The sequence below is a fragment of the Homo sapiens genome, chromosome 3 (assembly GCF_000001405.40).
Source record: "Homo sapiens chromosome 3, GRCh38.p14 Primary Assembly".
NCBI classification, from domain to species: Eukaryota; Metazoa; Chordata; class Mammalia; order Primates; family Hominidae; genus Homo; species Homo sapiens.
The window spans coordinates 158,657,732-158,683,960 of NC_000003.12; the positions used below are offsets into that span (position 1 = coordinate 158,657,732).

At 37.2% G+C, this 26,229-nt stretch overlaps 2 protein-coding genes across 15 annotated transcripts in view, besides 5 other annotated features; one reads left to right on the plus strand and one right to left on the minus strand.

The window, feature by feature from the left end:
• The window catches only part of GFM1 (G elongation factor mitochondrial 1), a 51,055-nt gene that overhangs the window by 13,205 nt on the left and 11,621 nt on the right, over positions 1–26,229 (plus strand). For 12 of the 14 annotated variants that reach the window (NR_164500.1, NR_164499.1, NR_164502.1 and 9 more), the window contains 6 exons: positions 1,191–1,328; positions 3,143–3,244; positions 4,897–4,953; positions 7,606–7,743; positions 8,573–8,655; positions 24,264–24,426. Coding sequence is in view for 10 of the 14 variants with exons in the window: in NM_001308164.2 (NP_001295093.1) it covers positions 1,191–1,328; positions 3,143–3,244; positions 4,897–4,953; positions 7,606–7,743; positions 8,573–8,655; positions 24,264–24,426 (681 nt within the window). In the remaining 4 variants the exon portion in view is untranslated. Of the gene's footprint in view, positions 1–1,190; positions 1,329–3,142; positions 3,245–4,896; positions 4,954–7,605; positions 7,744–8,572; positions 8,656–24,263; positions 24,703–26,229 lie in introns of those variants that run through there. The other 2 variants (NM_001308166.2, NM_001374355.1) reach the window with 2 other exon arrangements.
• Positions 8,683–14,917, minus strand: LXN (latexin). The gene is made up of 6 exons (NM_020169.4): positions 14,619–14,917; positions 13,226–13,288; positions 11,702–11,879; positions 11,265–11,401; positions 9,281–9,343; positions 8,683–9,013 (listed from the first exon to the last, which is right to left on the minus strand). Exons 1-6 carry the CDS (start codon positions 14,745–14,747, stop codon positions 8,915–8,917), a joined length of 669 nt encoding a protein of 222 aa, NP_064554.3. The 5' UTR covers positions 14,748–14,917; the 3' UTR covers positions 8,683–8,914.
• Positions 14,134–14,726: an enhancer, noted in NCBI's record as "H3K27ac-H3K4me1 hESC enhancer chr3:158389654-158390246 (GRCh37/hg19 assembly coordinates)". NCBI's record gives its function as "activates a minimal SCP1, AML or CMV promoter by ChIP-STARR-seq in naive H9 embryonic stem cells {active_cell/tissue: H9 hESC(naive)}" and the evidence as "EXISTENCE:reporter gene assay evidence [ECO:0000049][PMID:30033119]".
• Positions 14,241–14,300: an enhancer, noted in NCBI's record as "active region_20748". NCBI's record gives its function as "activates an Ori minimal core promoter by ATAC-STARR-seq in GM12878 lymphoblastoid cells {active_cell/tissue: GM12878}" and the evidence as "EXISTENCE:reporter gene assay evidence [ECO:0000049][PMID:35858748]".
• Positions 14,727–15,319: an enhancer, noted in NCBI's record as "H3K27ac-H3K4me1 hESC enhancer chr3:158390247-158390839 (GRCh37/hg19 assembly coordinates)". NCBI's record gives its function as "activates a minimal SCP1, AML or CMV promoter by ChIP-STARR-seq in naive H9 embryonic stem cells {active_cell/tissue: H9 hESC(naive)}" and the evidence as "EXISTENCE:reporter gene assay evidence [ECO:0000049][PMID:30033119]".
• Positions 14,741–14,790: an enhancer, noted in NCBI's record as "active region_20749". NCBI's record gives its function as "activates an Ori minimal core promoter by ATAC-STARR-seq in GM12878 lymphoblastoid cells {active_cell/tissue: GM12878}" and the evidence as "EXISTENCE:reporter gene assay evidence [ECO:0000049][PMID:35858748]".
• Positions 15,101–15,290: an enhancer, noted in NCBI's record as "active region_20750". NCBI's record gives its function as "activates an Ori minimal core promoter by ATAC-STARR-seq in GM12878 lymphoblastoid cells {active_cell/tissue: GM12878}" and the evidence as "EXISTENCE:reporter gene assay evidence [ECO:0000049][PMID:35858748]".

Genomic DNA, 26,229 nt, shown 5'->3' on the forward strand with positions numbered 1-26,229 from the left:
AAATAGAGTATCAGTTGTCCAGTTAGTACTTTATGCACAATCCTTTCTTCCTTTTCCATTGATTTGTCATGTTTCTTTATCATCTATTGACAAATATATTTTATACTTTAGATTTTTATACTGTACTCTGTGGGGTGTTTAGTCTAATTTGTGCTGGTTCTGAATTTTCTGAGTTTCAAGCATTTTAATATGTTTTTATATCTGTCAGGGTTAGTTTTATCTTATTACCATAGTTTTTGAAAAATTTCTGTTTTTACCTATTTATTCCTCTGAATGAATTTTAAAATCACTAATCATGTTTAAAATTTCCTGTTGGGATTTCGATTGCTATTTTGTTAAGCCTATAATTAACATGGTAAGAACTGGGAACTGTTAAATATATGTTAATTGGTCACTGCTAGTATATTCAATCACTTCACAGAACTCTTTTTTTTTTTTTTTTTTTTTTTGAGACAGAGTCTCACCTATTCTGTTGCCCAGGTTGGAGTGCAGTGGTGCGATCTCGGCTCACTGCAACCTCCGCCTCCTGGGTTTAAGCAATTTTCCTGCCTCAGCTTCCCGAGTAGCTGGGATTATAGGTGTGCCACCACGTCTGGCTGATTTTTGTATTTTTAGTAGAGGTGGGGTTTTGCCATGTTGGCCAGGCTGGTCTTGAACTCCTGACCTCAGGTGATCCGCTCGCCTCTGCCTCCCAGAGTGCTGGGATTACAGGCCTGAGCGACCAGCCCAGCCACAGAACTCTTACTCACATAATTTTCCACGTGATTGTCAGAGATTGTGTTTTAGATGTATAGCACACACCTACTGTTTCTAATAGTATCTTTGTTGTTTTTCCAAGTATACCTTTTTTTTGTTTTATATCTTATTGTATTAAACTTATGAAATGTTAGAAGGCAAAAGATACTTCCTTATTATGTAAACAACTTAAAAATTTTGTTCTAATGTAATAGCTTATTTCAAAGGAAACAGAAATGTCTTAGATTGTGATACCAAAAGGATTGATGAATAACAGCCATTTATCTTATCTGTGTTCAAAGCTAGTATTAGTTTATGACAATAAACTGAAATATGTAAGATAGATTACTAAAATTGGTAGAGAATACTTGGAGGGAGTTATGAAGCTTTCCTCAATACTTTGATTATTATGTTTCTTTTTATTCTTCCTGCCCTTACCCAATCTTGACTTCTAGGTAGGTCGATTTGGACAATTAACTTATGTTCGCAGTTATCAGGGAGAGCTAAAGAAGGGTGACACCATCTATAACACAAGGACAAGAAAGAAAGTACGGTTGCAACGGCTGGCTCGCATGCATGCCGACATGATGGAGGCAAGTACAGAGTCATTGTGAGATTAGAAATTCCTCTGATGTGGGTGAAATAGACCCTTCTTGGTATCCTGAGCCCCACTAGAAAATTAATTCTGGTTAAATATATGTTTCTAGTTTCTTTCTACTTAAATGTGTTGTAGCTCTGATCTAGCACTTTGCTATAGGATAAATTAGCAGTTGTTAACTCATTTTTTTTAATACCGCTAGTTGTGAATTAGCTATATTTTCTCAAGGGCCAAGGTTAAGGAAAGAGACAGTTCCCCAACACTCAGAATACAAGATTCAGCACTTTCCTCAAGAACTATTATTACAAAAAATGTAATAGGCATTTAAGACTGTGGAACTGTGATTCTTAAAGATAAGAGAATAATAAATTTACACAGTTTTCCACATTGTTTTATTTACCTTCTGAAATACGGCAGGCACAAAAGCCCTGTTTAACCCTAGAGCTTCTATTCCTGTTGTAGAACCCACTGCAGGACCATATTGGGGCCAGAATCCACCTGAAGATTTAAAAGCTTCAAGGGCTGATCTGGGAGATAAACTTTGACTTACGCCTTGAATTCTTGAGCTGGCTTGGAATCTGCTGTAGCCTTCTGTAGTCCTTATGGTTAGGCCTTGGAAGGAATACTGAGTGCCTGAATTTGTCCCCTACCCCCACCCTCTCCCAATCCATCTATATATTCCTGGAGAAATTTATCAGTTGAAGCAAAATCTTAACGAATTTTTTGGTAGCCATAACTTTTGTTTCTTCTAGAAGAGGAATTGTCAGTCTGAAAACCCGACAGCGTTGCTGTTTTGTGAGATAGGCAGCAGGGGGCAGGCTAAGTGATTGTCATAGCTGTTTCATGGACCAGAAGCTGGAAGATTTGTACAGCTGTGTCACCATTAAAGAAAGACATGCTTACTCACAGCCACAGCTGTTGTGAATGAACTGTCAATGTAAAACGACAAAAACTAGGAAGCTTGGAGGCACCAATGCTTTGTTCTTAGATTTCCTGTGTTTTCTTGACTGCTTGCATCTGTGAGAAATTAAAATTATTTTTAGTACAGTGGGCTCCATTCTCCTACCTTTGTTTTCAAAACTTCCTTTACAGGTTTCCTGTAAAGGAAGAGTATGTATGACAGAGTAGATCTCTGTCATACACAATCTCATTGTCTAACTGCGGCAACATATATAGTACATGCCTTTTTTTTTTTTTTTGAGATGGAGTTTTGCTCTTGTCTCCCAGGCTGGAGTGCAGTGGCGCGATCTCGGCTCACTGCAACCTCCGCCTCCTGGGTTCAAGCGACTCTGCTGCCTCAGCCTCCCTTGTAGCTGGGATTACAGGCACCCACCACCATCCCTGGCTAATTTTTTGTATTTTCAGTAGAGACAGGGTTTCACCATGTTGGACAGGCTGGTCTTGAACTCCTGACCTCAGGTGATCCACTCGCCTCGGCCTCCCAAAGTGCTGTGATTACAGGCATGAGACACCATGCCCCGCCAGTACATGCCTTTTAATTCCATAGAAATAACTTTAGAACCTTGAGGCACTGTGTTGTTAGTACTGCAGCTCCTTCAAGTAATGAGTTTTCTGTTTAAAGTAAAATCTTGTCTATTGATATATGGTTTAAATGAAGGCCTTTTAAAAATACGTCTTAGCATGGTTGATTATTGTATTGGTTCTAGCTAATTCACTATAGAATTCAAGCAGAGAGATTCTGCCACGCTTTTTTATATACAATGTGTGTACTGTACAGTTTACTTTTTAGTTACCACATCTTTATTTGTATTACTTGCAAATATAATTTTGTGTTATTTGTTTTTTTAGGATGTTGAGGAAGTATATGCCGGAGACATCTGTGCATTGTTTGGCATTGACTGTGCTAGTGGAGACACATTCACAGACAAAGCCAACAGCGGCCTTTCTATGGTAAGCCATTTAATTTCAAAGCTACTTATCACTAGAATTTTAAAAGTCTGTGTTTTTATGTAGTGCATTTAATACTTCAGAAAAACAACCACAGAAGTTTTCGTTGAGTACCACAGTCATCAAGTTAGTTGTGGCTCTTTGAATGTTGGTTATAGCTCTTTGAATGTCAATTAGACAAGTGCTCTGTAAGCTAACTTACCTGGTTTTTCATAGTAAAAAGGAAAACTTGGAGGATCCACAATCCTCCCAAGTTTAGCAAGGAGGAAATATCTCCACCAGATGGTACCTGGACAGTGTGGCTCTGATTCCTCCACCCTGAGACCTGCTTCCACACTTGGGGTGCATTTCTAATTGTTACCACTAACATCAAGCTAGTTTCAGTGGAGTGCTACTTCCTTATTAACTCAGTAGCCAGAAAGTATACTGTTCCCTCAATCCCTTTTGAGACCAGACTGTAACATTTAGACTAGACTTGGGATAACAGAACATAACCAGGCTCAGAAGGCAATAGGCAATATGCAACTACAGAGTCTGACTTATATAAATAGCCTGCCCTTTGGAACTCAGAAGTCCCTTTTTATCATTGAGGGATTCTGAGGGAAGAGCATGCACAGGTAGCTCCTGCCTTTGAATTCCCTTCACTCACTCACCTTTTTTGCCTCTGTAGGAGAGCAAACTCTCTTACATTATGACCATCTGTTTATGAGAGTGATCTCTTTTATGAATTCAGTAAAGAAAGAGTATGATGAGTACATAGGGTGACAGGTAATTTGCAGTGGGTCATTTACATAAGTACTGACCCAACTCTAACAGAATAGCACTGTAATACTTCCTGCTATCTAATGATGAATTCATGATTTTATAGTTTAGTTTTTTTATCTGTAGTATCCTCTAATGTGTATATTATTACCTGTTGATTTAAGACACTACAAAAAAAACATAAATCTATACAATTTTTGTTTGAGATCTAGATAAAAGGAATGTTTTCTAAGTATTATTGATAAGGCCTTCTCTAAGTACTGGTCATTAGCAACATGAAGTGATTGGTAGTTGTGGGAAGTGCTTACCAAGGCATTGAAACAAACAGGCCTTGGTTAGAGTCTCACCTTTGCCCTATACTACCTACTGGCCCTTAGCCAATTTGTTTTACCTTATTTCCAAGCCTTTAGTGACTGCATTCGTAAAATGGGGATAATACCTGCTTCTCAGAGTTGTAATTCATTAAATGAGGTGTCATGGGTATGAAGAATTTGGTGCCCTTTCTCTGTTTGCCTTATCAGTAATTGTATTATATTTTGATTAAATAAAATAACTTAGAAGATTGCAACAGCCACCAAGCAATAAGAATTTCACATCTCAGTATTTGGATTAATTGTAGTGATTATGTTAAACAGGGCAATAAATACATTCATTAATTTTATTTTGGGAAGGAGGAACCTATATAAGTAGATAGCTTTATTTATTTATTAATATGTTGTATTAATGTACTTATTTAATGCAAAACAGATCAAGATATATGTTGTCTAGCCTAAAGACATAGGCTACTATTTATCCTTTGTTCTGTTGTAAAGTGGCACATTAAAATTAATCTATCCCTGACCCATATGGGTCTGTTTTTTAATTCTTCTGTTTTCTTTTAAAAAATATTTTAGGAGTCAATTCATGTTCCTGATCCTGTCATTTCAATAGCAATGAAGCCTTCTAACAAGGTAGGAGTTTGATTTAAAGCTCAGTATATCACAATTAAAACTTGAGCTCTTTTTCATCTATCTCTACAATGCACTTGATATCTTGTAATAACCAGCAGTCTTATGGTCTCTATTTCCTCTGTTGGTATTGAGATCTTCTTTTTAAATTTACCAGTCTGTTTCTAATGATAACTCCTCAGTATATTTGAAGAAATGGATGGTATTAAAATATTCACCTGACTGTACTTTATAACTCTTTACTATATTGTTGGCTTCAGAGTGTTAAGTGTAACTTCCCGGATTCAGATCATACACAATTGGAAAAGGGGAATCGGGCACTTCTCCTAAGTTGTAGTAAAACCCCACTATAAAGTACTTTAGAATGTTGAACTGATTAATTGACTCATGGGTTATAAAATAGCTCTAGGTTTTCTGGTAGTTATGAGGTAAATGTCTGAGTATTGCATGGAAAGCCTGTAAATAAGACTTTTTTCCACTTTGAAATATTTTTTAAGATAATTTTATACTTTATAGTTTTATAATTGGGTTTGATGTAATTTAGCTTTTAATAAATCCAAAATTGCATGATTAGGTTTTGCATTTTCATTCTTTGCCATGGGAATTAGTCTGATCTCAAACCATAACTTTTTAGTTCTTAAGTTGCCTTGGCATTCATAACAATCATGTTAATGTGGTATATTGAAATTCACTTATTCATACATTGAGTGAACTTTTTATGATTTGTTATACAGAACTTATTACAAAACATACTCTGATGAATTGTCACGTGTGATAATATCACTAACAGCTGCTACTACTACATCTATTTTGAGGAACCTTGGGATTTTCCAGACCTTTTCTCAATATAGAAAAGAGAAAATTGAGGTGGCAGGAAATATTAAATTTCTCCATTTTCTCAGGAATTTGAGGAAAGGTGAACCTTACATCTTAACCTCAGTAGGATGCCATAGTTTATTCCAAGTACATTGTTAAAATTGCTTGCTTTTCTCTTTGGAAGTATGCAAGGTTAGAACTTATGCTTATGTATTATGCTTCTTCATTCCTAAATTCAGAGTTTATTTAAGGCATTTAACTGTTGATAATTTACAATAAGGAGGGAAATCAATGCTTCAATATCCAGAAGGTTTTTTGTTGTTTTGGGGTTGTGTATGCATTAAAAAGTTTAAAGATGGCTGCTTGCTGGAGTAAGTTAATTTAAATCGAATAATGAAGTCTCCATGAGTCTCAATAGTGGGGGCAGGCATGATGTTTCTAATTTGAGAGTATCTGGCTTGTGCAGAAAAAAGGCAAAAGACCTAGAAAGACTAAACTGGGATTCAGTCCCAGCTTTGCCATGCAATAGCTGTGTGGCCTTGAACAAATCACTTAACCTCTCTGTACCTCATTTCCTCACCTGTAAAATGTGGATAATTCTGCCTTGCAGCATTGTGGTTGGGATTTGAGAAAACATAGGCAAAACACATACCACAGCTCCAGGTATGTGGTAAATGATAGCTGTTAATATTGGTTGTACTGGGCATGTTAGTTTTCTATTGCTGACTTAAGAAGTTACCACAAACGTAGTGGCTTAAAACAACACAAATATATACTTTTATAGTTCTGTGGATCATAGGCTGATAGCTGTTCTCAAAGGGCTAAATTAATCAAGATATTGGTAATGTTGTTTTCCTTTCTGGAGGCTCTATGGGAGAATTTCTCTCCTTCTTACTCAGGTTATTGGCAGTATTCAATTCCTTGTGGTTGTAGGATGGGGGTTCCCCATTTCTTTGAAGACTGTTACCTGAGGGCTGTTCCTAGCTTCTAGAGGCTACCCACCTTCCTTGGCTTGTGGCCCCCTGCCTCCATCTTCAGTGCCGTCAACAGCTGGTTAAGTCCCTTTCTTGCTTCAGATATCTCCTGCCACTTCTTCCTTCATGGAATCCCTCTGACCCCCCCTTCTAGCTTCCTCCTCCATGTTTGAAAGGCACACATGATTATGTTGTATCCACCTAGATAATTGATAACAATCTCCCCATCTCCAGGTCTGTAACCTTAGTTACATTTGCAAAGTCCCCTTTACTATGTAAGGCAGCGTATTGTCAGATTTGGGAGGATTAGGGTATCTTTGGAGGGCCATTAATCTGCTTACCACGCGGGATTACATGGCATCTAAGGAGAAAAAGGGTACATCATACCACATCCAAGCAGATTGTTTTGAAAGGGACAAGTCTCATCGTGGTATTTGCCTATTTGTTGGTCTTAAGTATCCTGCTTGGATCTACAGTAGTGTCTTGGTAAACATGCTGATTCCTTTGATTATGTATAGGATTTCTAAAATGTAACACAGATTCCAATTTCTGCTTTATGGGCAATTTTCACAAAAGGACAGTGTGTCAATGTAAGAGGACAGGGCATAGAGTTAAGTCTTGGACTCTTGTTTTCTATCTTGGTGTGGAAAGAAAATTCTGTTCAGTGAGCTATTCCCTGCTGTCTTGGCTGTGTGGTATCCAAGCTCACATTGTTTTTAAAAATGGTGTGGAGTAGAACTAGATATGTATCATTTTTATTTCTTAACTGCTGATGTATTTTATTTCATTCAGTAAAGTTTTTTCTAAAATCCCATTGCTTATCATGCTCAGTAAAACATATAGTGACTTTCTTCTTCTTTTAAAGAACGATCTGGAAAAATTTTCAAAAGGTATTGGCAGGTTTACAAGAGAAGATCCCACATTTAAAGTATACTTTGACACTGAGAACAAAGAGACAGTTATATCTGGAATGGGAGAATTACACCTGGAAATCTATGCTCAGGTAATGAATAATAAGGAAGTTAAGTTGAAATCAATTTATTACTGTCTGTTTCATTAAAAGTCAATAATTCTCAATCTAATGTCTGTAACTAACTCTGGTTCTTCATGCGTCACTCTGGTTTGTATCCAGATGTGGTCTACTGCTTCCTCTACTATGTGTTACAAAATAATTATTTTCGATCTCTAAATCTTTTTATTTGTAAAACGTTCTGGACTCCTAGAATCAAGGCTCAGGGGATTTGCAACAAGAATATCTGTCCATCCCCAGGTCATGGGTAACTGGGTCAAGTAAATCCTGGTCCAAGCCTTAGGGAGACAACCTGCGGTTGTACCAACTTTTCAGGCCATTTCTTCTCAAGTCATTACTTGAAGATCATTATAATATAGATAAAAGGAAGGGAAGATGGGGCCTATACCTTCCCAGGAAAGGTCTTGTATGTATTGATATATAAGTAAAAACCAAAGATATGTGATTAGAAATTTTGGTGAGATCTTATCTTTGAAGTTGAGATAGAAAATCCTGACAACAGATTTATATATTATTCCAGTGAATATGTAATAATATTCAACAATGGTGACGTTTTAGTGGTTAGATTAATTGGAGGTAAATATAAATTAATCAATGTAACTTAGAATTCATTTATATAAAATCTGTAAAAGCAGTTTGTATTAAGTATCACATACCTAATCCTTATAAGATACTAAAATGATTTAAGATTTGTTTATCTATTATATTTAAGTGAATGCTACTAAGATATATAAGATGCTTAGGAGGTTTTCTTTCGGTTTATTTTTTTAAATTTAAATAATATTTTCCCCACTCTTTTTAGAGGCTGGAAAGAGAGTATGGCTGTCCTTGTATCACAGGAAAGCCAAAAGTTGCCTTTCGAGAGACCATTACTGCCCCTGTCCCGTAAGTATGCAACGTAATTAAACATTATGAGGCTGAAATTGAAGCTTTTTATTTTGGATATACATACCACTATTACTGTTTTAAAGACATTTTTATGTAGTGATACTTTGTATTATGGACTCTATAAAGTTCTATACTGTAATCAAGACATTTATATAAAGTGACACTTTGGGATTATTTGGCCTCATAAGCTAGATGCCAGTGAAATTGGCATACACATCAATAGACATGTTTACACTTCCAGTGTTAGGGTTTTTGTTTATTCCAGTTGTACTTCCTTTGGCAGACGGCTATTATGTTTTACTTTAGTGCCGTATTGTGGATGCCAGAGAACTTGCATTTGCCAGGGAATAATCTCCTGCAAGTGAAGAAAATTAATGCCATGATAAAATTCAGAAAACATTTAGGAAAACGTAGTTGGGTTTATGTTTTGTTAGAGATAAAACAGTCTTCACAAAGAATAGTACTTTTGTTAAATTGCTGCAATTATAATATACTTAAATCTGGTGCCTATCTGGATTTACATGAATTCTGATTTAGAGTCAAAATTAATAAAGCATACTGTGGCTATACAAGGAGTCTCAGTTTTCAGAATGGCATCAAATAAAGGTAAATTATACTTTACCTGAGATGCTATATTATGAAGTAGAATGGTGTAGTCTAATTCAATAAAGTCATCATTTCTTTGCTATGACAAAAAATAAAAACGTGTTGTTTAAAACTTAATATCTTTGGCAAAAATTACATTTAATTTTGAAAATCATCTTTGATTAGATGAATATAATATTTCCATTTAGGTAAAAATAAAAATTGAATGTCATAATTTCAATTTAATGTGACAAAATCTATTCTCTTACACTAAATAAAGTGTTCTTTCAAGATGCATTTTAAAATCATGATCTTATATTTGTTCCCCAAGAAATGTTTACCTGTTTTTAGTTTCCAAGTTGTGGTGGCTACTTAAGAGAATTAGCAAGTGTAGCTTGTTATTTAAGAATGCTCTGTGTTTCCATTGTACAGAAAAGCATAATTTATGGGATAAGCTATAGCAATGGGTGTTTACATTGAAAGAATCCAATTTTATAACAGAAATTCTCTTTTTGAAAACTGAAAATAAGGCCGAGCACAGTGGCTCACACCTATAATCCGAGCACTTTGCGGGGCTGAGGTAGGCAACTTGCCTGAGCCTAGGAGTTCAAGACCAGTCTGGGCAACACAGTGAAACCATGTCTCTATGAGAATAAACAAAAAATTAGCCAGGCATGCCTGTGTGTGCCTGTACTCCCAGCCACCTGGGAGGCTGAGGTGGGAGGACCGCCTGAGCCTGGGAGATTGAGGCTGCAGCGAGCCATGATCACACTAATGCACTCCAGCCTGGGCAACAGAGTGAAACCCTGTCTCAAAAACAGGCAAACAAACAAAAAAACCAGAACACCTGAGAATAGTAAAATGTAGTGAGTGTAGTTGTGTGATTGTGTAATTAAAGCTTTTTTCTGTACTGTACAGTAGAGGGAAAAAACAGATAGTTTCAGTATGGCATGACTATAGTAATTTGAACACAAAACTTAGATTGCTAAGGGAAATAATCTGTATTAAGCTGAGCACAAAAGCTAAATGTTGGATTATAACTCAAGACTTCACTCTTCTGAAAGCACAGCTTTGCTTGTGACTGCCATAAAAAGTGGCCCTGAGGATCTCTATAGAGCAGATTAAAGGTGAGGAGAGTCATTACAATTGTCCCTTAGTATCCATGGAGGATTGGTTCCAAGATTCCCCTCAGATACCAAAATGCACGGATGCCCAAGTCTCTGACATAAAACAGTGTAGTATTTGCGTATAACCTATGCATACCTTCTCATATACTTTAAATCATCTCTAGATTACTTATAATACCAAATACAATCTAAATGTTATATAAATAGTTGTTATATTACTTAGGGAATCATGACGAGAAAAAAATCTGTGCATGTTCAGTACAGATGCTACCATCCATTTTTTTCCCCCAAATATTTTTGATTCTCGGTTGTTTGTATCCATAGATGCAGAACCCATGGAGAGGCCTGACTGTATATTGTACACCTGGGATTCTGTCTTGCTGCTACTAATAAAACTCTCTCAACCTTTTTGTTCTAGAAGAGGGTTTGAGGAAAGTATCATAGTTAAATCTGACTTGACTAACCCGAAAGATTAAGAGCTATGATTACCGTGATGCTTTTTGAAAGTGCAGTCTAGATACTGTGTATTAACAGGAAGTGTTTCACTGAAATCCTTGGCTTTGCCTTGCTTTTGTTATGCTTCCTAGTCTCTATGTTCCCAGAGCATGCAACTAACAAAGCACAGTTATTAGGCAAGTTTGAGGCAAAGGAGGCCTGTGGTTTGCATCTCTCAGCCAAATCAAACAACTTTTTAGACCAGTTACTGTTGCTTTGGACTCTTCCTACAATTCTTCACCTTCTCTAATCTTGATTGTACCTGACCTCCCCTTTGAAATCCCAGGTTTGCTATTAAATACAAAATGACTATAGGAATACTGTTAATCCAATTATGAATTACAATACTTTCGATAAATATTAACCCCATTAATAGTGTATTTTATAGAAACTACTTACCACTTGCTTGACAGTTTGAATTTTTACCATTTTATACCATGTGTCTTCAGTAGAATTTTGCCATATTATATAACCACAGGCAACCCAGGCTAAATGTAGAACGAGCGTCATTTCTGGAGATACATTTCCAAAATTGTCTGGTAGGAGACACATTTATATGATAATCATATATATAGTATTAACCTTTTAAAACAAAATCTAAATTCTAAATCATGTCTTAGTTTCCTTCGAATGTTGTGCAAAAAATAATTTAATTAAGCTATGGATCTATAAAATTTCTGAGGCCTCTTTTTTGTTGGATTGGATTAGAAATGAGTATTTTTGCAAAAGCCTGTAAGTTTCTAACATACTTAGCAACTAACAATTTTAAGCACAGATAATTGAGATTGATTTTAAGTTTGAATCAAACAAATGGTTTTCATGCCATATTTATATACCTGGAATATTTTGTGCTTCTAGCGGTTCCTTCATGGACTTAAGTCTTTGATAAAATGTGTTGTCTTCTTCATCTGGATTCTTTCCAGTTTCTCCTTCAAATGTGAAGTTGACTTCTGGTGCAGTTTCTTGTCCCGTTGAAGGGTAAAGTACTTCAGCTGTGCAGTTCACCTTAACTTGCTGTTTGAAATTTAGCAAAATATCCTTATATACAGAAGGCTATTCATTATTAATTATCATCTTTGAGATATGATTTAAAGCATAGGCTCCTAATGGTGTTGTTTTAGACTAGACTTCAAAGTGCTTGTTTTCAGAGGTATCTAATTGGGCCTGGCCTATTAAATTCTAGACTTATCATGTGAATACCCTAAAATAGATAACTTACTTTATAAATGATATGGTGTCATAATCTTATGAATTCTAGTCTTAAAACTTTCAGTATATTTCAGTATTAATGGGGTGTCCATTTGCAAGGCCAGATTTTAATCTGACTTTATATACCAACTCAAGACTGGTTACTTTTAAAGTTTTTCCATTACTCTTACTCTTTGCTCCTGAAATAACAAAGTTTTTGAAATGCAGATGCAGCAGTCTGTGTCTGGATATAAAATTAGAAGATTATGGCATTGGGTTATGCTTTGTAAAGATGGCTGTCTAGCAGCTCAGATGCCTTTTAATGAATCTCTTTATGAATTATGCTCAACAGAAAGGCAAGCTTTTTAAAATTTCAAGATGGCTGTGGTACAGATTGCAGTTCCTTTCTTTTAAGTTTGTCTCATTAATAATTTGACAGTTGTGTATAATCTTTAAAATTTCCCTTCCCCATTACTGAAAGATCTTCATCTGAATGGTGGTATCAGCTGGCATTCTATTGCTTCTGAATATCTAAGAGCACGTTCTTTCTCTAAAAACCCAGTGAAAAATAGAATGAGAAAAGCAGACGTTAAGAAGATGATTGATTGGGGAATAAATTACTTCACTCATTTATATTAGGCATAAGTTCAGACTGCCCTAAGAGTATGTAACTTCTTAAGAAATTCATTTGAACTGAAGTGTATAGTCTTTTTTTGTGTAGTTTGGTAGAAATAATTCATATACCTAGGAATACCCAAAGATAGTAAAGAACTGATCCTTGTAAACTTTGCCCATATGGTCAGTGTTTTTCAGAGGCAGGTATTTCACAACAACTTTTTAAAAAGAGGTAAAACTAATCAATCTTACAGATTTGATCAGCAAAGATGATCTGGAATATTTAGAATTAAATTTGTTTAATAAGAACATTTTGGCTGGGCTTGGTAGCTCATGCTTGTAATCCTAGCACTTTGGGAGGCAGAGGCAGGAGGATCACAAAAATTAGCCAGGTGTAGTGGCATGCACCTGTGGTCCCAGCTATTTGGGGAGGCTGAGGTGGGAAGATGGCCTGAGCCCGGGAAGTTGAGGCTGCAGTGAGCCATGTTCTGCCACTGCACTTCAGCCTGGGTGATAGAGTGAGACCCTGTCTCAAAGAAAAAAGAAATTTAACTTACTTTTTGTATAATTTCTTCAACAGCAAATTTAAGGTGATACTTATGTCCTCTTCCTGGAATATCCTAAAATTAAGAAAATGTAGTGGAGACAAGAAAATATTATAACAACATTATACTTGCATTGTTAGAAGTATGCATCTCATTTGGTTGGAGGGGCTGGCTGAAGGGGAATGGTGAAAGCCTTAGGTCTTGAAAAAGGCATGTCACCATGAATGTAACATCTAATTTAGCAAGTCCCCTATCAAGTTTATTTTGGATGAAAACAAAAGAGTAGGATAAAAGCATACAAATTGGGCACAATTCACTTTCAATCATCAAAAGACTTTATTTAACCCCTGGATCTGTGATCTTAAAGTCTCTACATAAGAAAGTTTGAAACAGCGTTTAATTCTAAAGATGACAATATCACCTTTGAAAAGATTTTTTCATAAAGCTCAGTGTACCCTCCAAATAATGTTCAATGAATGTGAATTTCATTTTGAGGCAGATTACTGCAAAGCAATTGGAGACTTAATACAATTAAGTATTGTTTTTACTTATACATTAGTGAAACTGCAAAATGATTAACAAATTATATAAGACTAAGAAATGGTATTTCACTTTTAAATCAAGATACAGATTGAAAATTTATACCTAATTCTGTTATCTGGTACAGTTTCAAAATAAGATCTACTGTGTCACCTCTAAAAGACTGTTAGCAGTTAAAATTCTGTCAGATAAATAAGGGATAATCTCAAATCCAGTAGATTTTCGTAAAATGAAAACAAACCTCGTTAGTGATTGCTGAGGCCTTAAACATTTAATTCAAGCCTTTAGCAGAGGGTGCACATCATTTAAGGCAGTCATGTGGTAGCGGTGTTTGGGTGGCTAAAGGCCAGCGTCAGCCCACAGTGCTTTTATTCTTTGACTTTGATTGTCAGTTTCTCTTGCTGTTTGTTTCCCCCTTCATTTTGGTCAAAGGGTCTGATAAGGATTTGTCTTAAAATGTAGGCAATAGAGTCTTGGAAGATGGGAGCTTTTGTTGGTCCAGATCAGAGTAGCAGATGAGAAACGTGGCAGCCTTAGTAGTCTTTTGAATGGTTTCTACAGTTTACACTTAAGGAAAGTGCTGCCCCTTACCTAGAGCGTGTTCCCGTTTTCTTGTAACTGTGTGCGTAAAAACTTTGTCTCTGCCTTAAGGTGAAAACAGTCCCGGGCTGTCTCCAGAGACTGGAGTATAGACATTCCCCCAGAAACCTTAATATCTCAAGACCAGATACCAGCAGTGTGTCCTAAAACAGAAGGTGGGTAGGGGGTGGCACGGAGTGTCTGCACCCAAAGGCTGAGACCGCGGGTGAGTGGAGGGAGCGCAATCCTGAAGCCTCTGCTGTCCACCACCCCCTGCTAAACTCACCTCCATGCTGGCTTGTTTGACCTTCTGCACCTCAAACACCCTGTGCGGGGTCCCCTGCTGGTAGTTGATGTAGTTCTGTGCCACCAAGGCCGCCCTGGAGGCTGGGTAGTTGGTCGGCGGGATTTCCATTCCGGATGAGCAGTGACTTCAGGGCTTGGGCTACTCTGGCTTAACGGGACCAGTAGCAGAGCGCCGCCCGTCCTGCTTGCTGCTGGGTCCGGTTGCCGAGGCGGAAAAGTCGCAAGCTCCTTCAGTCAGTCTTCTTCCTCAGCTCCTTCCGACTCCGGAAGCTGCTGTTTGGGCCCAGGCTCCCTGCATCCGAGAGCCCTGGGCTGACTGCTTCTGAGGCCCCGCCCCACTACTGCCTGCAGCGGGCTTCCTTACTCCGCCTGCTGGTTCCTACTGGAGGAGAGGCCAGCATGCTTGTCAGGCACCAGCAGGTGGAGGTGTGGGGAGGGAGTCAGTGGGCTAGGTTCGCTGGGATTGCATCTTTCGTTTCATTAACCTTTATAGAAGTGCAGGGTGGGGCTTTCGCTGATATAGGACATCTCTGAAGACTCTAGTTTCCTGTCCATGGGAAAAAAGTCTGGTTGCTTCGCTTGCATACTGGAGCACAACTTCCTTATACACCGCATGCAGCGTCCCTGGCAGGGCAAGGTACACAGTACTCCAGGTAGTGATTCGATTCCTTCATTTCCCTTCCCCTTATGAGAGTCCAGGAAGAGGCTTGCTCATCCTCAGCTTTTTGTGGGTTTGGACCAGTTCTGCCCAAATCAAAGTATGAGAATCTGCAAACTATAGTATTAAATTGGGAGATTATGTAATTTGGATCAGGAGAAATAAAAAAATGCACCTGTACCCCTCTCCTTTACTAATCTTAAAATGATAAGTTTTGATGTAACGCCATGCTTCCAACTTGAGTCATTTTGAATATTTTACTTCAAGGATTAAAATAAACTTAAAAACTGAACTTATACAAAGCACTCTCTCTGGTATGTGGTCTACCTCATTGCAATGGGCCTATAAACCTGACTTTGTAGAAGTACAGGTTTATCCTTGGTGGTCTTAGGTTAATTGGGCTAGGATAACTTGGAGATTCTACCAAAGTTTGGCCAAGGTCTTCGCTGCCTGGATTGAGACCTTTTTTTCTTTTCTTTTCTTTTTTTTTTTTTTTTTTTTGAGATGGAATTTCACTCTTGTTGCCTAGGCTGGAGTGCAATGGTGCTATCTCGGCTCACTGCAACGTCCGCCTCCTGGGTTCAAGCAGTTCTCCTGCCTCAGCCTCCAGAGTAGCTGGGATTACAGGTGCCCACCACAATGCCCGGCTAGTTTTTTGTATTTTTAGTAGAGACGGGTTTAGGCTAGGCTGGTCTCAAACTCCTGACCTCAGGTGATCCACCCACCTTAGCCTCCCAAAGTGCTGGGATTACAGGCATAAGCCACCATGCCTGGCCAGGACCTTTAACTTGGTAGTAATGCACACACCCAAGACTCTTGAGGTGTATCTCTTTCTGATTATGTAGATTCTGCAGTAAATCTGGATTCTGGACTTTGGCCTCAGTTTCATGCTTATTATTGTCTCCTGGGATTTGGGGGTTCTGATTGACTTTGCCTTTAAATACCATCTGTCTGCTTGCCCATCATCTTGTATCAAATGTCAATGAAACTTTTCTCAGTCTTGTCCGTGTATGAGAAATTTGCTTTGCGAGACACTGTCTTTCACACATGACCTTTTTTTTTTTTTTTTTGGAGACAGAGTTTCGCTCTGTTGCCTAGGCTGCAGTGCAGTGGCGTGATCTCGGCTCACTGCAACCTCCACCTCCCAGGTTCAAGCATTTCTCCTGCCTCAGCCTCCCTAGTATCTGGGACTACAGGTGCACTTCACCACACCTGGCTAATTTTTTTGTATTTTAGTAGAGATGGGGTTTCACCATGTTGAGTTCAGGCAATCCTCCCTCCTCTGCCTCCCAAAGTGTTAGGATTACAGGCATGAGCCACCGTGCCTGGCCTCTCCACGTTTCTTAGTTCAGCATTTGTTAAACCCTGACCCACCCATGGCAATATTTTTGCAAATACAGAATATCAGCCAATTTTCGATGGGGTTGTCAGATACGAACTTACACTGTCTCCTGGGATAAATTTACCAAAGAATTGGTGAAATTTGGGGAACTTTGACATGAAGAAGACTGTTCATTTGAGAGACACTTTAGAAGAACACCAGAAATAAAAAAATAAGACTTTCGGAGAACAGTATTTGTCTTATTTGTCTAAGAGCATTTTAAGTAGAAGACTGCCCATATTTTATTTCCATACTTCAAGGTTTTTTATTAATAACATGGCTTATATTTAAGCTTTTTCCTCTCTCCTTGAAAAGAAAAGATAATTAGCGTTTTACAGTGATAATTTCATATTTGTCTAAAACTGGCTGTAGCTCACCTTTTCCTGTTTCTCATTTTCTTTCATTAAAAATTTGAAAGATGATTCATGAGACTAAGTCATTCTGTCATTATATGTGCAGTCCAGGAATATCTAGTCCAAATAAACAGCCAAAAATGTCTAAGAAAAAAATCATTGTGCTTTAAAAAATGTGTAAAAATTAATGTGGTCAAATGAACTTAAATAGCCTTTATTATTATGTTTATAAGGAGCAAGTTTACGGCCGGGAGCAGTGGCTCACGCCTGTAATCCCAGCACTTTGGGAGGCCAACGCAGGTGGGTCACGAGGTCAAGAGTTCAAGACCAGCCTGGCCAATATGGTGAAACCCCGTCTCTACTTAAAATACAAAAATTAGCCGGGCGTGGCGGCGGGCGCCTGTAATCCCAGCTACTCGGGAGGCTGAGGCAGGGAACTGCTTGAACCCAGGAGGCGGAGGTTGCAGTGAGTGGAGATCATGCCACTGCACTCCAGCCTGGGTGACAGAGTGAGACTCCATCTCAAAAAAAAAAAAAAAAAAAAAAAAACAAGTTTTCAAGATAAAAGAGGAGCTCTTAAACATGATTTAATGATTTTTGAATATAAAGTTTATAAATTATATTTTTAAAAATGTATAAAATATTTCTGATTAATAGATGAATTTGGGTGAGCTGTAACAAAATAATATTTATTTAAAGTTGATTATATGTCTTCCAGGTTTTATTACATAATGATAAAATATTCCAAGTTCATATAAAACTGAATTTGATCTTTTCATGATCTAAACTTTCTAAATTTTATATATTGATCAAATGGGCCAAACAAGTTACTGATTCAATCAGTTGTATAAGATTACAAAATATAAAATGGTGTTTAAATAAAATTTTAATACAGATGTCTTTTAAAGGAGTTTTAATCTTATAAAATTATGCTTCTATTATAAAGACCAAATGTGTTAACTAAAATTATAATTTTTCAGATCTCCAGTTAACTTTCAGGCCCTTACATAATGTTCAATTAGTCCTGGGATAATTGGACAATTTCTGACTAATACATGATACAGAGCTTTGGTTACTAAAGAGAGTTTCAGTTTACCTTTATTCTTATACATTATAAAATGATTATGAATTAACACAATGTGCAGATACTTTGGTTGTTATATATGTGTTGTTTTGCCACCTTAAAATTATAGAAGTAATCTAAAATTTGTATTTATAAAAATTTAGCTAACCAGGTGCAGTGGCTCACACCTGTAATCCTAGCACTTTGTGAGGCTGAGGTGGGAAGATCGCTTGGGCCCAGGAGGTTGAGACTAGTCTGAGCAACATGGCGAAGCCCTGTCTGTAAACTACACAAATTAGCCAGATGTGATAGCATGTGCCTGTAGTTCCAGCTACTCGGGAGGCTGAGGTGGGTGGCTCACTTGAGCACAGGGAGGAGGTTGCGATGAGCCGAGATTGCACCAGTGCACTCTAGCTTGGATGAAAGAACCAGACCCTGTCTCAAAAAAAAATTTTAGCTTGACATTTCTTGGTTTTCTGTCTTCTGGTTTTCTCTTTGGGAAAGCAAAAGTTGATTACTTTGGTTAAAAGTGGTGATTAATAAGAATAAGAATATACTTGGTATAATAACTACAGAAAAACATGAAAATAAATATATATGTACACACAAGATATGAATTTTATTAGTTTGTTAGAATGGTAATTTCAATGTGATATATATACTGTTTTATTTAATATACTGATAAAGTGAGTTGTCAGAATATTACATTAAATATGAAATTTAAAATTAAAAACCTTAATTATATTTTCCATTTTTAAACAGACATACCTCATTTTATTCAACTTTATTGTGTTTCACAGATAGTATGTTTTTTACAAATTGAGGGTTTGTGATAACCCCATGTGGAACAAGTCTATCAGCTCCATTTTTCTTTTTCTTTTTTTTTTTTTTTGAGACAGAGTCTCACTCTTATCACCCAGGCTGGAGTGCAGTGGTGCAATCTCAGCTAACTGCAACCTCCGCCTCCCAGGTTCAAGCAATTCTCCTGCCTCAGCTTCCCGAGTAGCTAGGATTACAGGTGCCCGCCACCATGCCCGGCTAATTTTTGTATTTTTAGTAGAGACAGGGTTTCACCGTATTGGCCAGGCTGGTCTCGAACTCCTGACCTCAAGTGATCCACCCGCCTCGGCTTCCCAAAGTGCTGGGATTACAGGCATGAGCCGCCACGCCCGGCCTCACCTCCATTTTTCTAATAGCATATTCTAACTTCACATCTCTGTGTCACATTTTGGTAATTCTTGTAATATTTCAAACTTTTTCATTATTATTATATCTGTTATGGTGATCTGTGATTGGTGATTTCTGATGTTATTGTAATTTATTTTGAGGTACCATGAAACCTGCCCATATAAGATAGCAAACTTCATCCATATAATTGTATATGTTTTGACTGCTCTACCTACCAGTTGTGCTTGCACATTCTCTCTCTCTCTGTCAAAGCTTAATCCAGAGGAAGGCTCTAACTCTGTTCAATTTTATGAAGGCTGAGAGAGGTGAGAAAGTTGCAGAAGAAAAGTTTGAAGCTAGCAGATGTTGGTTCATGAGGTTTAAGGAAAGAAGCCATTTCTAACGTAAAAGTGAAAGGTGAAGCAGCAAGTGCTGATGTGGAAGCTGCAGCAATGATCAGTGGTCTCCTAAGATCGTTGATGATGTTGGCTACACAGAACAACAGATTTTCTTTTTTCTTTTTTTTTGAAATGGAGTTTCACTCTGTCGTCCAGGCTGGAGTGCAGTGGCACGATCTCGGCTCACTACAGTGAGCCTCTGCTTCCTGGGTTCAAGCAGTTTTCCTGCCTCAGCCTCCCAGGTAGCTGGGATTACAGGCATCTGCCACCATGCCCGACTAAGTTTTGTATTTTTAGTAGAAACAGAGTTTCACATGTCGGTCAAGCTGGTCTCAAACTCCTGACCTCGTGATCCACCTGCCTCGGCCTCCCAAAGTGCTGGGATTACAGGCATGAGCCACCATGCCTGGCCAAACAACAGAGATTTTCAGTGTAGATGAAACATCCTTCTTTTGGAAGAAGATGCCATCTGTGACTTTCATAGCTGGAGAGAAGTCAGTGCCTGGCTTCAAATCTTCAAAAGACAGGCTGTGACTCTCTTGTTAGGGGCTAATGCAGCTGGTGACTAAGTTTGAAGACAGTGCCCCTTTCTCATTGTCAAAATCCTAGGGCCCATAATAATTATGCTAAATCTACTCTGCTTGTATTCTGCAAATGGAATAACAAAGCCTGGATGACAGCATGTCTGTTTACAGCATGGCTTACTGAATGTTTAAAATCCATTGCTTAGAAAAAAATGATTCTTTCAAAAGATTACTGCTCATTGACAATTAACCTGTCACACAAGAGCTCTGATGGAGATGTACAAAGAGATTAATGTTGTTTCCATGCCCGCCAATACAACATTCATTCTGCAATCCCTGGATCAAAGAGTAATTTTGACTTTCAAGTCTTATTATTTAAGAAATACATTTTGTAAGGCGATCGCTGCCATAGGTTGATTCCTCTGATGGATCTGGACGAAGTAAATTGAAAACCTTCTAGAAAGGCTTCACCATTCTAGATGCCATTAAGAACATTTGTGATTCCTGGGAGGAGGTCAAAATAACATTACCAGGAGTTTGGAAGAAGTTGATTCCAACCCTCATGGATGACTCTGAGGAGTTTAAGACTTCAGTGGGTGAAGTAACAGTGAATGTATTGGCAATAGCAGGAGAATTAGAAGTGGAACCTGAAGATGTGACTGAAGTCCTACAATTTCATGTTCAAACTTGAACAGATGAGGAGATCCTTCTTCTATGGATAAGCAAAGAAAGTAGTTTCTTGAGATGGGATCTACTCCTGTTGAAAACGCTGCAAACATTGTTATTACAACAAAGGGTAAAACCTGGTTGATAAAGCAGTGGCAAGGTTTGAAAGGATTGACTCCAGTTTTGAAAGAAGTTCTACTATGGATATAATGCTATCAAACAGCGTCACATACAACAGAGAAGTCTTGTGAAAGGGAAAGTCAATCGATGTGGCCAACTTCATTGTTGTCTTAAGAAATTGTCATGTGACTGGGTGAAGTGGTTCACACCTTTAATTCCAGCTACTTGGGAGTCTGAGGCAGGAAGATCACTTGAGACCAGGATTTTGAGACCAGCCCTGGGCAACATAGTGAGACCCATCTCTAAAAAACATTTTAAAAGAAATTGCCACAGCCACCTCAACCTGCAGCAGCCATCACCTTGATCAGTCAGTAGCTATCAGCATCAAGCTAAGACCCTCTAGGCTCCTAGACCTTCAGTCTCCACTTCTAGTTCTGATGCTGATGTTTCAGCTGATTGTTAGCATGTTTTAGCAATACAGTATTTTTAAATTAAGGTATGTATGGTGGGATTTTTGTTTAGACATAATGCTATTGCATACTTAATAGACTACAGTATCGTGTAAACATATAGCTTTTATAAGCACTAGGAAAACAATTTGTGTGACTTGCTTTATTGCGATATTAGCTTCATTGCAGTGGTCTGTTACTGAACCCACAATGCCTCCAAGATATGCCTGTATGTTTTGATGCTTTGAAAAAGAAAATGAACAAAAATGTATTTGTAATGTACTATCTTCCTCAAACTGTTTTAATTTATTTATAAATACAGTGTTTCTTTGGACTAAGTAGCTTTTAAAAAAATTAATAGCAATACAGCATTTCTCATCTTTTCTAGTTATATTAGCCAGCAACTATAAAGCAACTAAAGGATGAAATGGTTAGTTCTCCTCTTAAGGCTTTTTCTAAGAAGTTGGAGGAATTTTTTTCTCTAAATTTTTTTTTCCTTTTGATGAGTCATTTATCTGTGAGCCAGCCTCTTAGGTTGTCGTTGTGCATGTGAGTTTTTTTGAATAGGTCCTCTGTTGATAGTGTCCAGGAAAGTGGCTGAGTACATTCTGATAACTCAGAGCTTTTTGCTGATAATGAAATTTTGAGTTTCACAAATTGCTAGTTAATATCTCCTGTGTTACCACCAGTAGTGAGAAATACAATATGTGAGCTTCCTCAAGTCACCATTTTGAAGCCTTATGAATGCAGTCACCATCTCTGTATATCAAAGCTAGTAACATAGGTTATGAGATAATAGGCATTTAAAAGTACACATACCAATTTAGGCTGTCTTAAAAACATAATTAGTAGAAATGCCCATTGCTTGCAACTTTGTTATGACTCTAAAGTCAAAACAAATCTGCAAATTTGAGGTAAACAGCAAAGCCAACACAATTCTTACATATATGTATATATATTTTTCGTTGTTGAAAACAATGTGGCCCTGACATAATTTTTCTTTTTCAATTAAAAAAAATAGATTTAGTGGGTACAGGTGTAGTTTTGTTATATGGATATATTGGGTAGTGGTGAAGTCTGGGCTTTTAGTGTAATCGTCTGCCAAATAGTATTCATTGTACCCAATAGGTGAGTTCTCATCCCTCAACCTCTCCCCACCCAACAATTCTAATGAACGTTCATTTTAATGTGACAGATGTTTTGCCAAAATGAAATTGTCTTTCATAATGTGACATTTCTTTCACCTTCAGCATTTCTATTTAGCTGCCTGTCAAGCAGTCTTAGTTCTTCTACCTGTTCTTTTTCTAAACCACTGCAAAATCTGTCTTCTTGTAGCACCTTCGGTTAGCTTTTGAAGTGAATAAACTAACCCCAGCATTTGTAAGTTAGTTTATATCTTTTTTGTATTAGCCTTCTAGAAGAATGTTTAAGATGCTTGGTTTTAGAGCAAATCCTGACCCTACCACTTAATGCTCTGTCACATTGGGCAAGTTACTTAGTCTCTCTGTCCCTCAGGTTTCTCATGTGTAAAATGGTGATAAAAGTAATACCTATTTCATGGGTTTGTGGTAAAGAACAAGTAAGACAATCCATATAAGGTGCTTAACATAAGCCTGGCACATAAGTATTCTGTTGTTTGGCACGCTCTCGATTATAAATTCAGATATGGTTCCTGAAACTGTGTGGAATTACTTGTTTGCGATTTGGTCCTTTAGAGCAGTGCTGCCCAATAGAACTTGGTGCAGTGATGGAAATCTTTTAATTTAAATGTAAACAGCCATGGTTAGTTATTACCATATAGACATCACAGATCTAGAGTATGTTTGTATAGATGTTATACTGTTGACAAATGGAAAACATGATTTAAAATGTCTCATAGAGAACGTTGTGTATACTTGAGAATATGTCAGCGTTCCACAGTTTTGGAAATTTGCCTGTTGTAAGCTAGCATCTCCTACCAGCTTAGAACAGGCAAATATTGATATTTGCTTCTTCCAAACCACTCTCAGATTTGTATGCAGGAATGTGCAGTCATTAATGTCTATTTTCTTATGTGCTAATAATTTTGAAAGCAGCTGGCCTCTTCCATCTTGTGGTCTTGAGGAAGATTTCAATTTAAAGGAAGAAATGCCTTGCAAACAGTAGATACTCATGAAATGATTTTCCAGTGAAACAGTAGCCTGTGTTTACATATCTTTAGTATATATGTAAAGTGCTTATTCTATCATATTAATGTTGCCATTAGTGGTTTGAAGTAAACAGTGAACTGTGTTTATACATCTTTCTGTGTCTTTTGAATGACTTACTTATGTTAGTCTCTATCGTTTTGCCACCGATCATTTTCAGATATTAATTATTTCACTTGGAAATCCCTTTTCTTGTATTGCCTGAGTCTATAATGCCCAAGGAATAAAATCAAATAGGAACTATCTGAATAAATTAACTGTAGCCATCAAAGGTCCTATTTTCAAGTAGTTGTCTTTGGTTACAGAGATGTAAGGAAAGAACACTGTGTTCCAGGGAAATGGGCAAGGTTTTTGGAATACAGGTTATTAGAACAAGAACCTTAGACTGACCTTTTTCTTTTAATTACTCGACTTTTACTTTTTTATTTGTGAAATTTATCTGTATATTACCTTGGGTAGTATACCCCACCCTCACTTCAAGTAAGAACAGAAAACAGAGGGTTCTTTTTAAAATAAATTCTACAATAAACTTTTATAGCAAGACCATCATATTCAAATGAAAAAGTAAAAATAATCAAATGTGTTCTTTTAAATTAATAGGAGTTATTTTATTTTGTAATTACATAATGCTCCATTTTTTTTTTCCTAAATCACTTTCAGGTTTGACTTTACACATAAAAAACAATCAGGTGGTGCAGGCCAGTATGGAAAAGTAATAGGTGTCCTGGAGCCTCTGGACCCAGAGGACTACACTAAATTGGAATTTTCAGATGAAACATTCGGATCAAATATTCCAAAGCAGTTTGTGCCTGCTGTAGAAAAGGTAAATTTTTAAAAAAGTGTTTTTGCATTTTTACTTACTAAAAACAGTTTATCAGGTATTAAATCATACTTTGTCTTCCATCATGTTGTCTATCACAGTTTGTTTTAGTTACAGTCCTGTTTCTCTGATTGTTAAGCTTTCCATCTGATTTAGAATCTCTAATTCATTAAGCAGAAGAGCTGTAAATCCATGCTGTGACAATGATGGGAAATTATTATGTTTCTGAATCATAGTTATATTTTTCTTAATAAATTGAAACTACTGTATTGATTGTAATCAATTTGTAGTAGTTCTTAGGGATTTATAAGAGTTTTATGTGTACTATTGCAGCAGAATGATCATTCTTTAGATTCCCAACACCTGGGTGCTACTGTCTCATGTCTACTACTGATTAATATGCTTTGTTAAATCAGTATTCAGAACTGTTTCTTCATTTGTAAACTGAGAGAAAATACTTAAACCTGCACCCCTCACAAAATTGAGGATCAGATAAGACTATGTGACATTTCCTTGGAGAAGTGCTTTGCACATATGAGGGGTTAGTGTTTTGTTTGCTTTCCAGTCATTTGCTTTATGACTGTCATAGGCCGGGCATGATGGTTCATGCCTGTAATCCTAACATTTTGGGAGGCCGAGGCGGGCAGATCACTTGAGCCCAGGAGTTTGAGACCAGCGTGGGCAACATGCTGAAACCCTGTCTCTACAGAAAAATAAAAATAGAAAAAAAATTAGCCCGGTGTAGTGGCACACACCTGTAGTCCCAGCTGCTCTGGAGGCTGAGATGGGAGGATTGCTTGAGCCCAGAAGATGGAGACTGTGGTGAGCTGTGCACCACTGCCCTCCAGCCTGGGCGACAGTAAGACCCTGTCTCCAAAATGGAAAAAAAAAAAAAAAAACTGTTGTAAACCCTTAATTAATTCATATAGACTGTGGTTTTTGTTTTTAACCTTTTAACTTAGAAGATCTTATTAACAGGTTATAATTTTGGTTTCAGTGGTGGAGCATTTTTTTGTCATTAATGTATTCTATTTCAAGACAATATTTTGTGATTCACACACTTTAAATTCTTATATCCACTAAGATTAATGTAGATGAAGGAGAACTTAGACATTTTACAGCATATATAACTTACAGTTTTGAAATGTCAAGAAATATTTTGTGCTATCTGCGCAGCCATGTTATTGTGTTGCCAGGAAAAACTAACTTAAGTGGTAGGAGCTCCACAAGTATTTGTTAAGTGACTGAATTAATAAAAATTGCAAGCTCATCAAATGGTACTCTTTAAATATGTGCAGTTTATTGTATATCAATTATACTTCAACAAAGCTATTCTTTTAAAATAATTAGATTTGAAAAAATGGTGAATTACTCTTTAATTCTAGTTCTTACTGACGTTTTGTAACACTAGAGCTATAATGTAGTGATCTGCCAATGAGGCAAAGCAGTTAGAGGTATGCAGTAGGGGCTCAAGACACAGCTAGTGAATAAACACCAATTTTGGTGGGGGTTTTCTTTTAAGGAGTTTCTTAGTTTTGCCTTTCCGCTGCTTCCTCATTGTAAAATTAAGATCATGCTGTCTCTATGATGGGTTATGAGTAATTGAGTTGAGTTGAGTAATTCCTGAAGATGAGGTTATGAGAAAGTGATTGTTAGCATTCTAAGCATTGCTTTCAAACCAGCTTACGCCCTTAACTAATATGCTTTTCCAAGGAATTGTTCATCTAAATGCCACGATAATAAAACTTAAATAGTAAAGTTGTACTATTTACAATAGCAAAGATATGTAATCAACCTAAATGCTCA

Bases quoted from the DNA above. Each gene is read 5' to 3' on its own strand.
- LXN (NM_020169.4), bottom strand. From the start codon at position 14,747: ATGGAAATCCCGCCGACCAACTACCCAGCCTCCAGGGCGGCCTTGGTG. The intron at 13,289-14,618 runs GTGAGTTTAGCA...TCTTAATTTTAG, and splicing joins TCAAACAAGCCAGCATGGAG to GATATTCCAGGAAGAGGACA. The intron at 9,344-11,264 runs GTAAGTAGTTTC...TTTTTGTCATAG, and splicing joins TTCAAACTGTCAAGCAAGTG to CAAAGAAATGATGACTTTAT.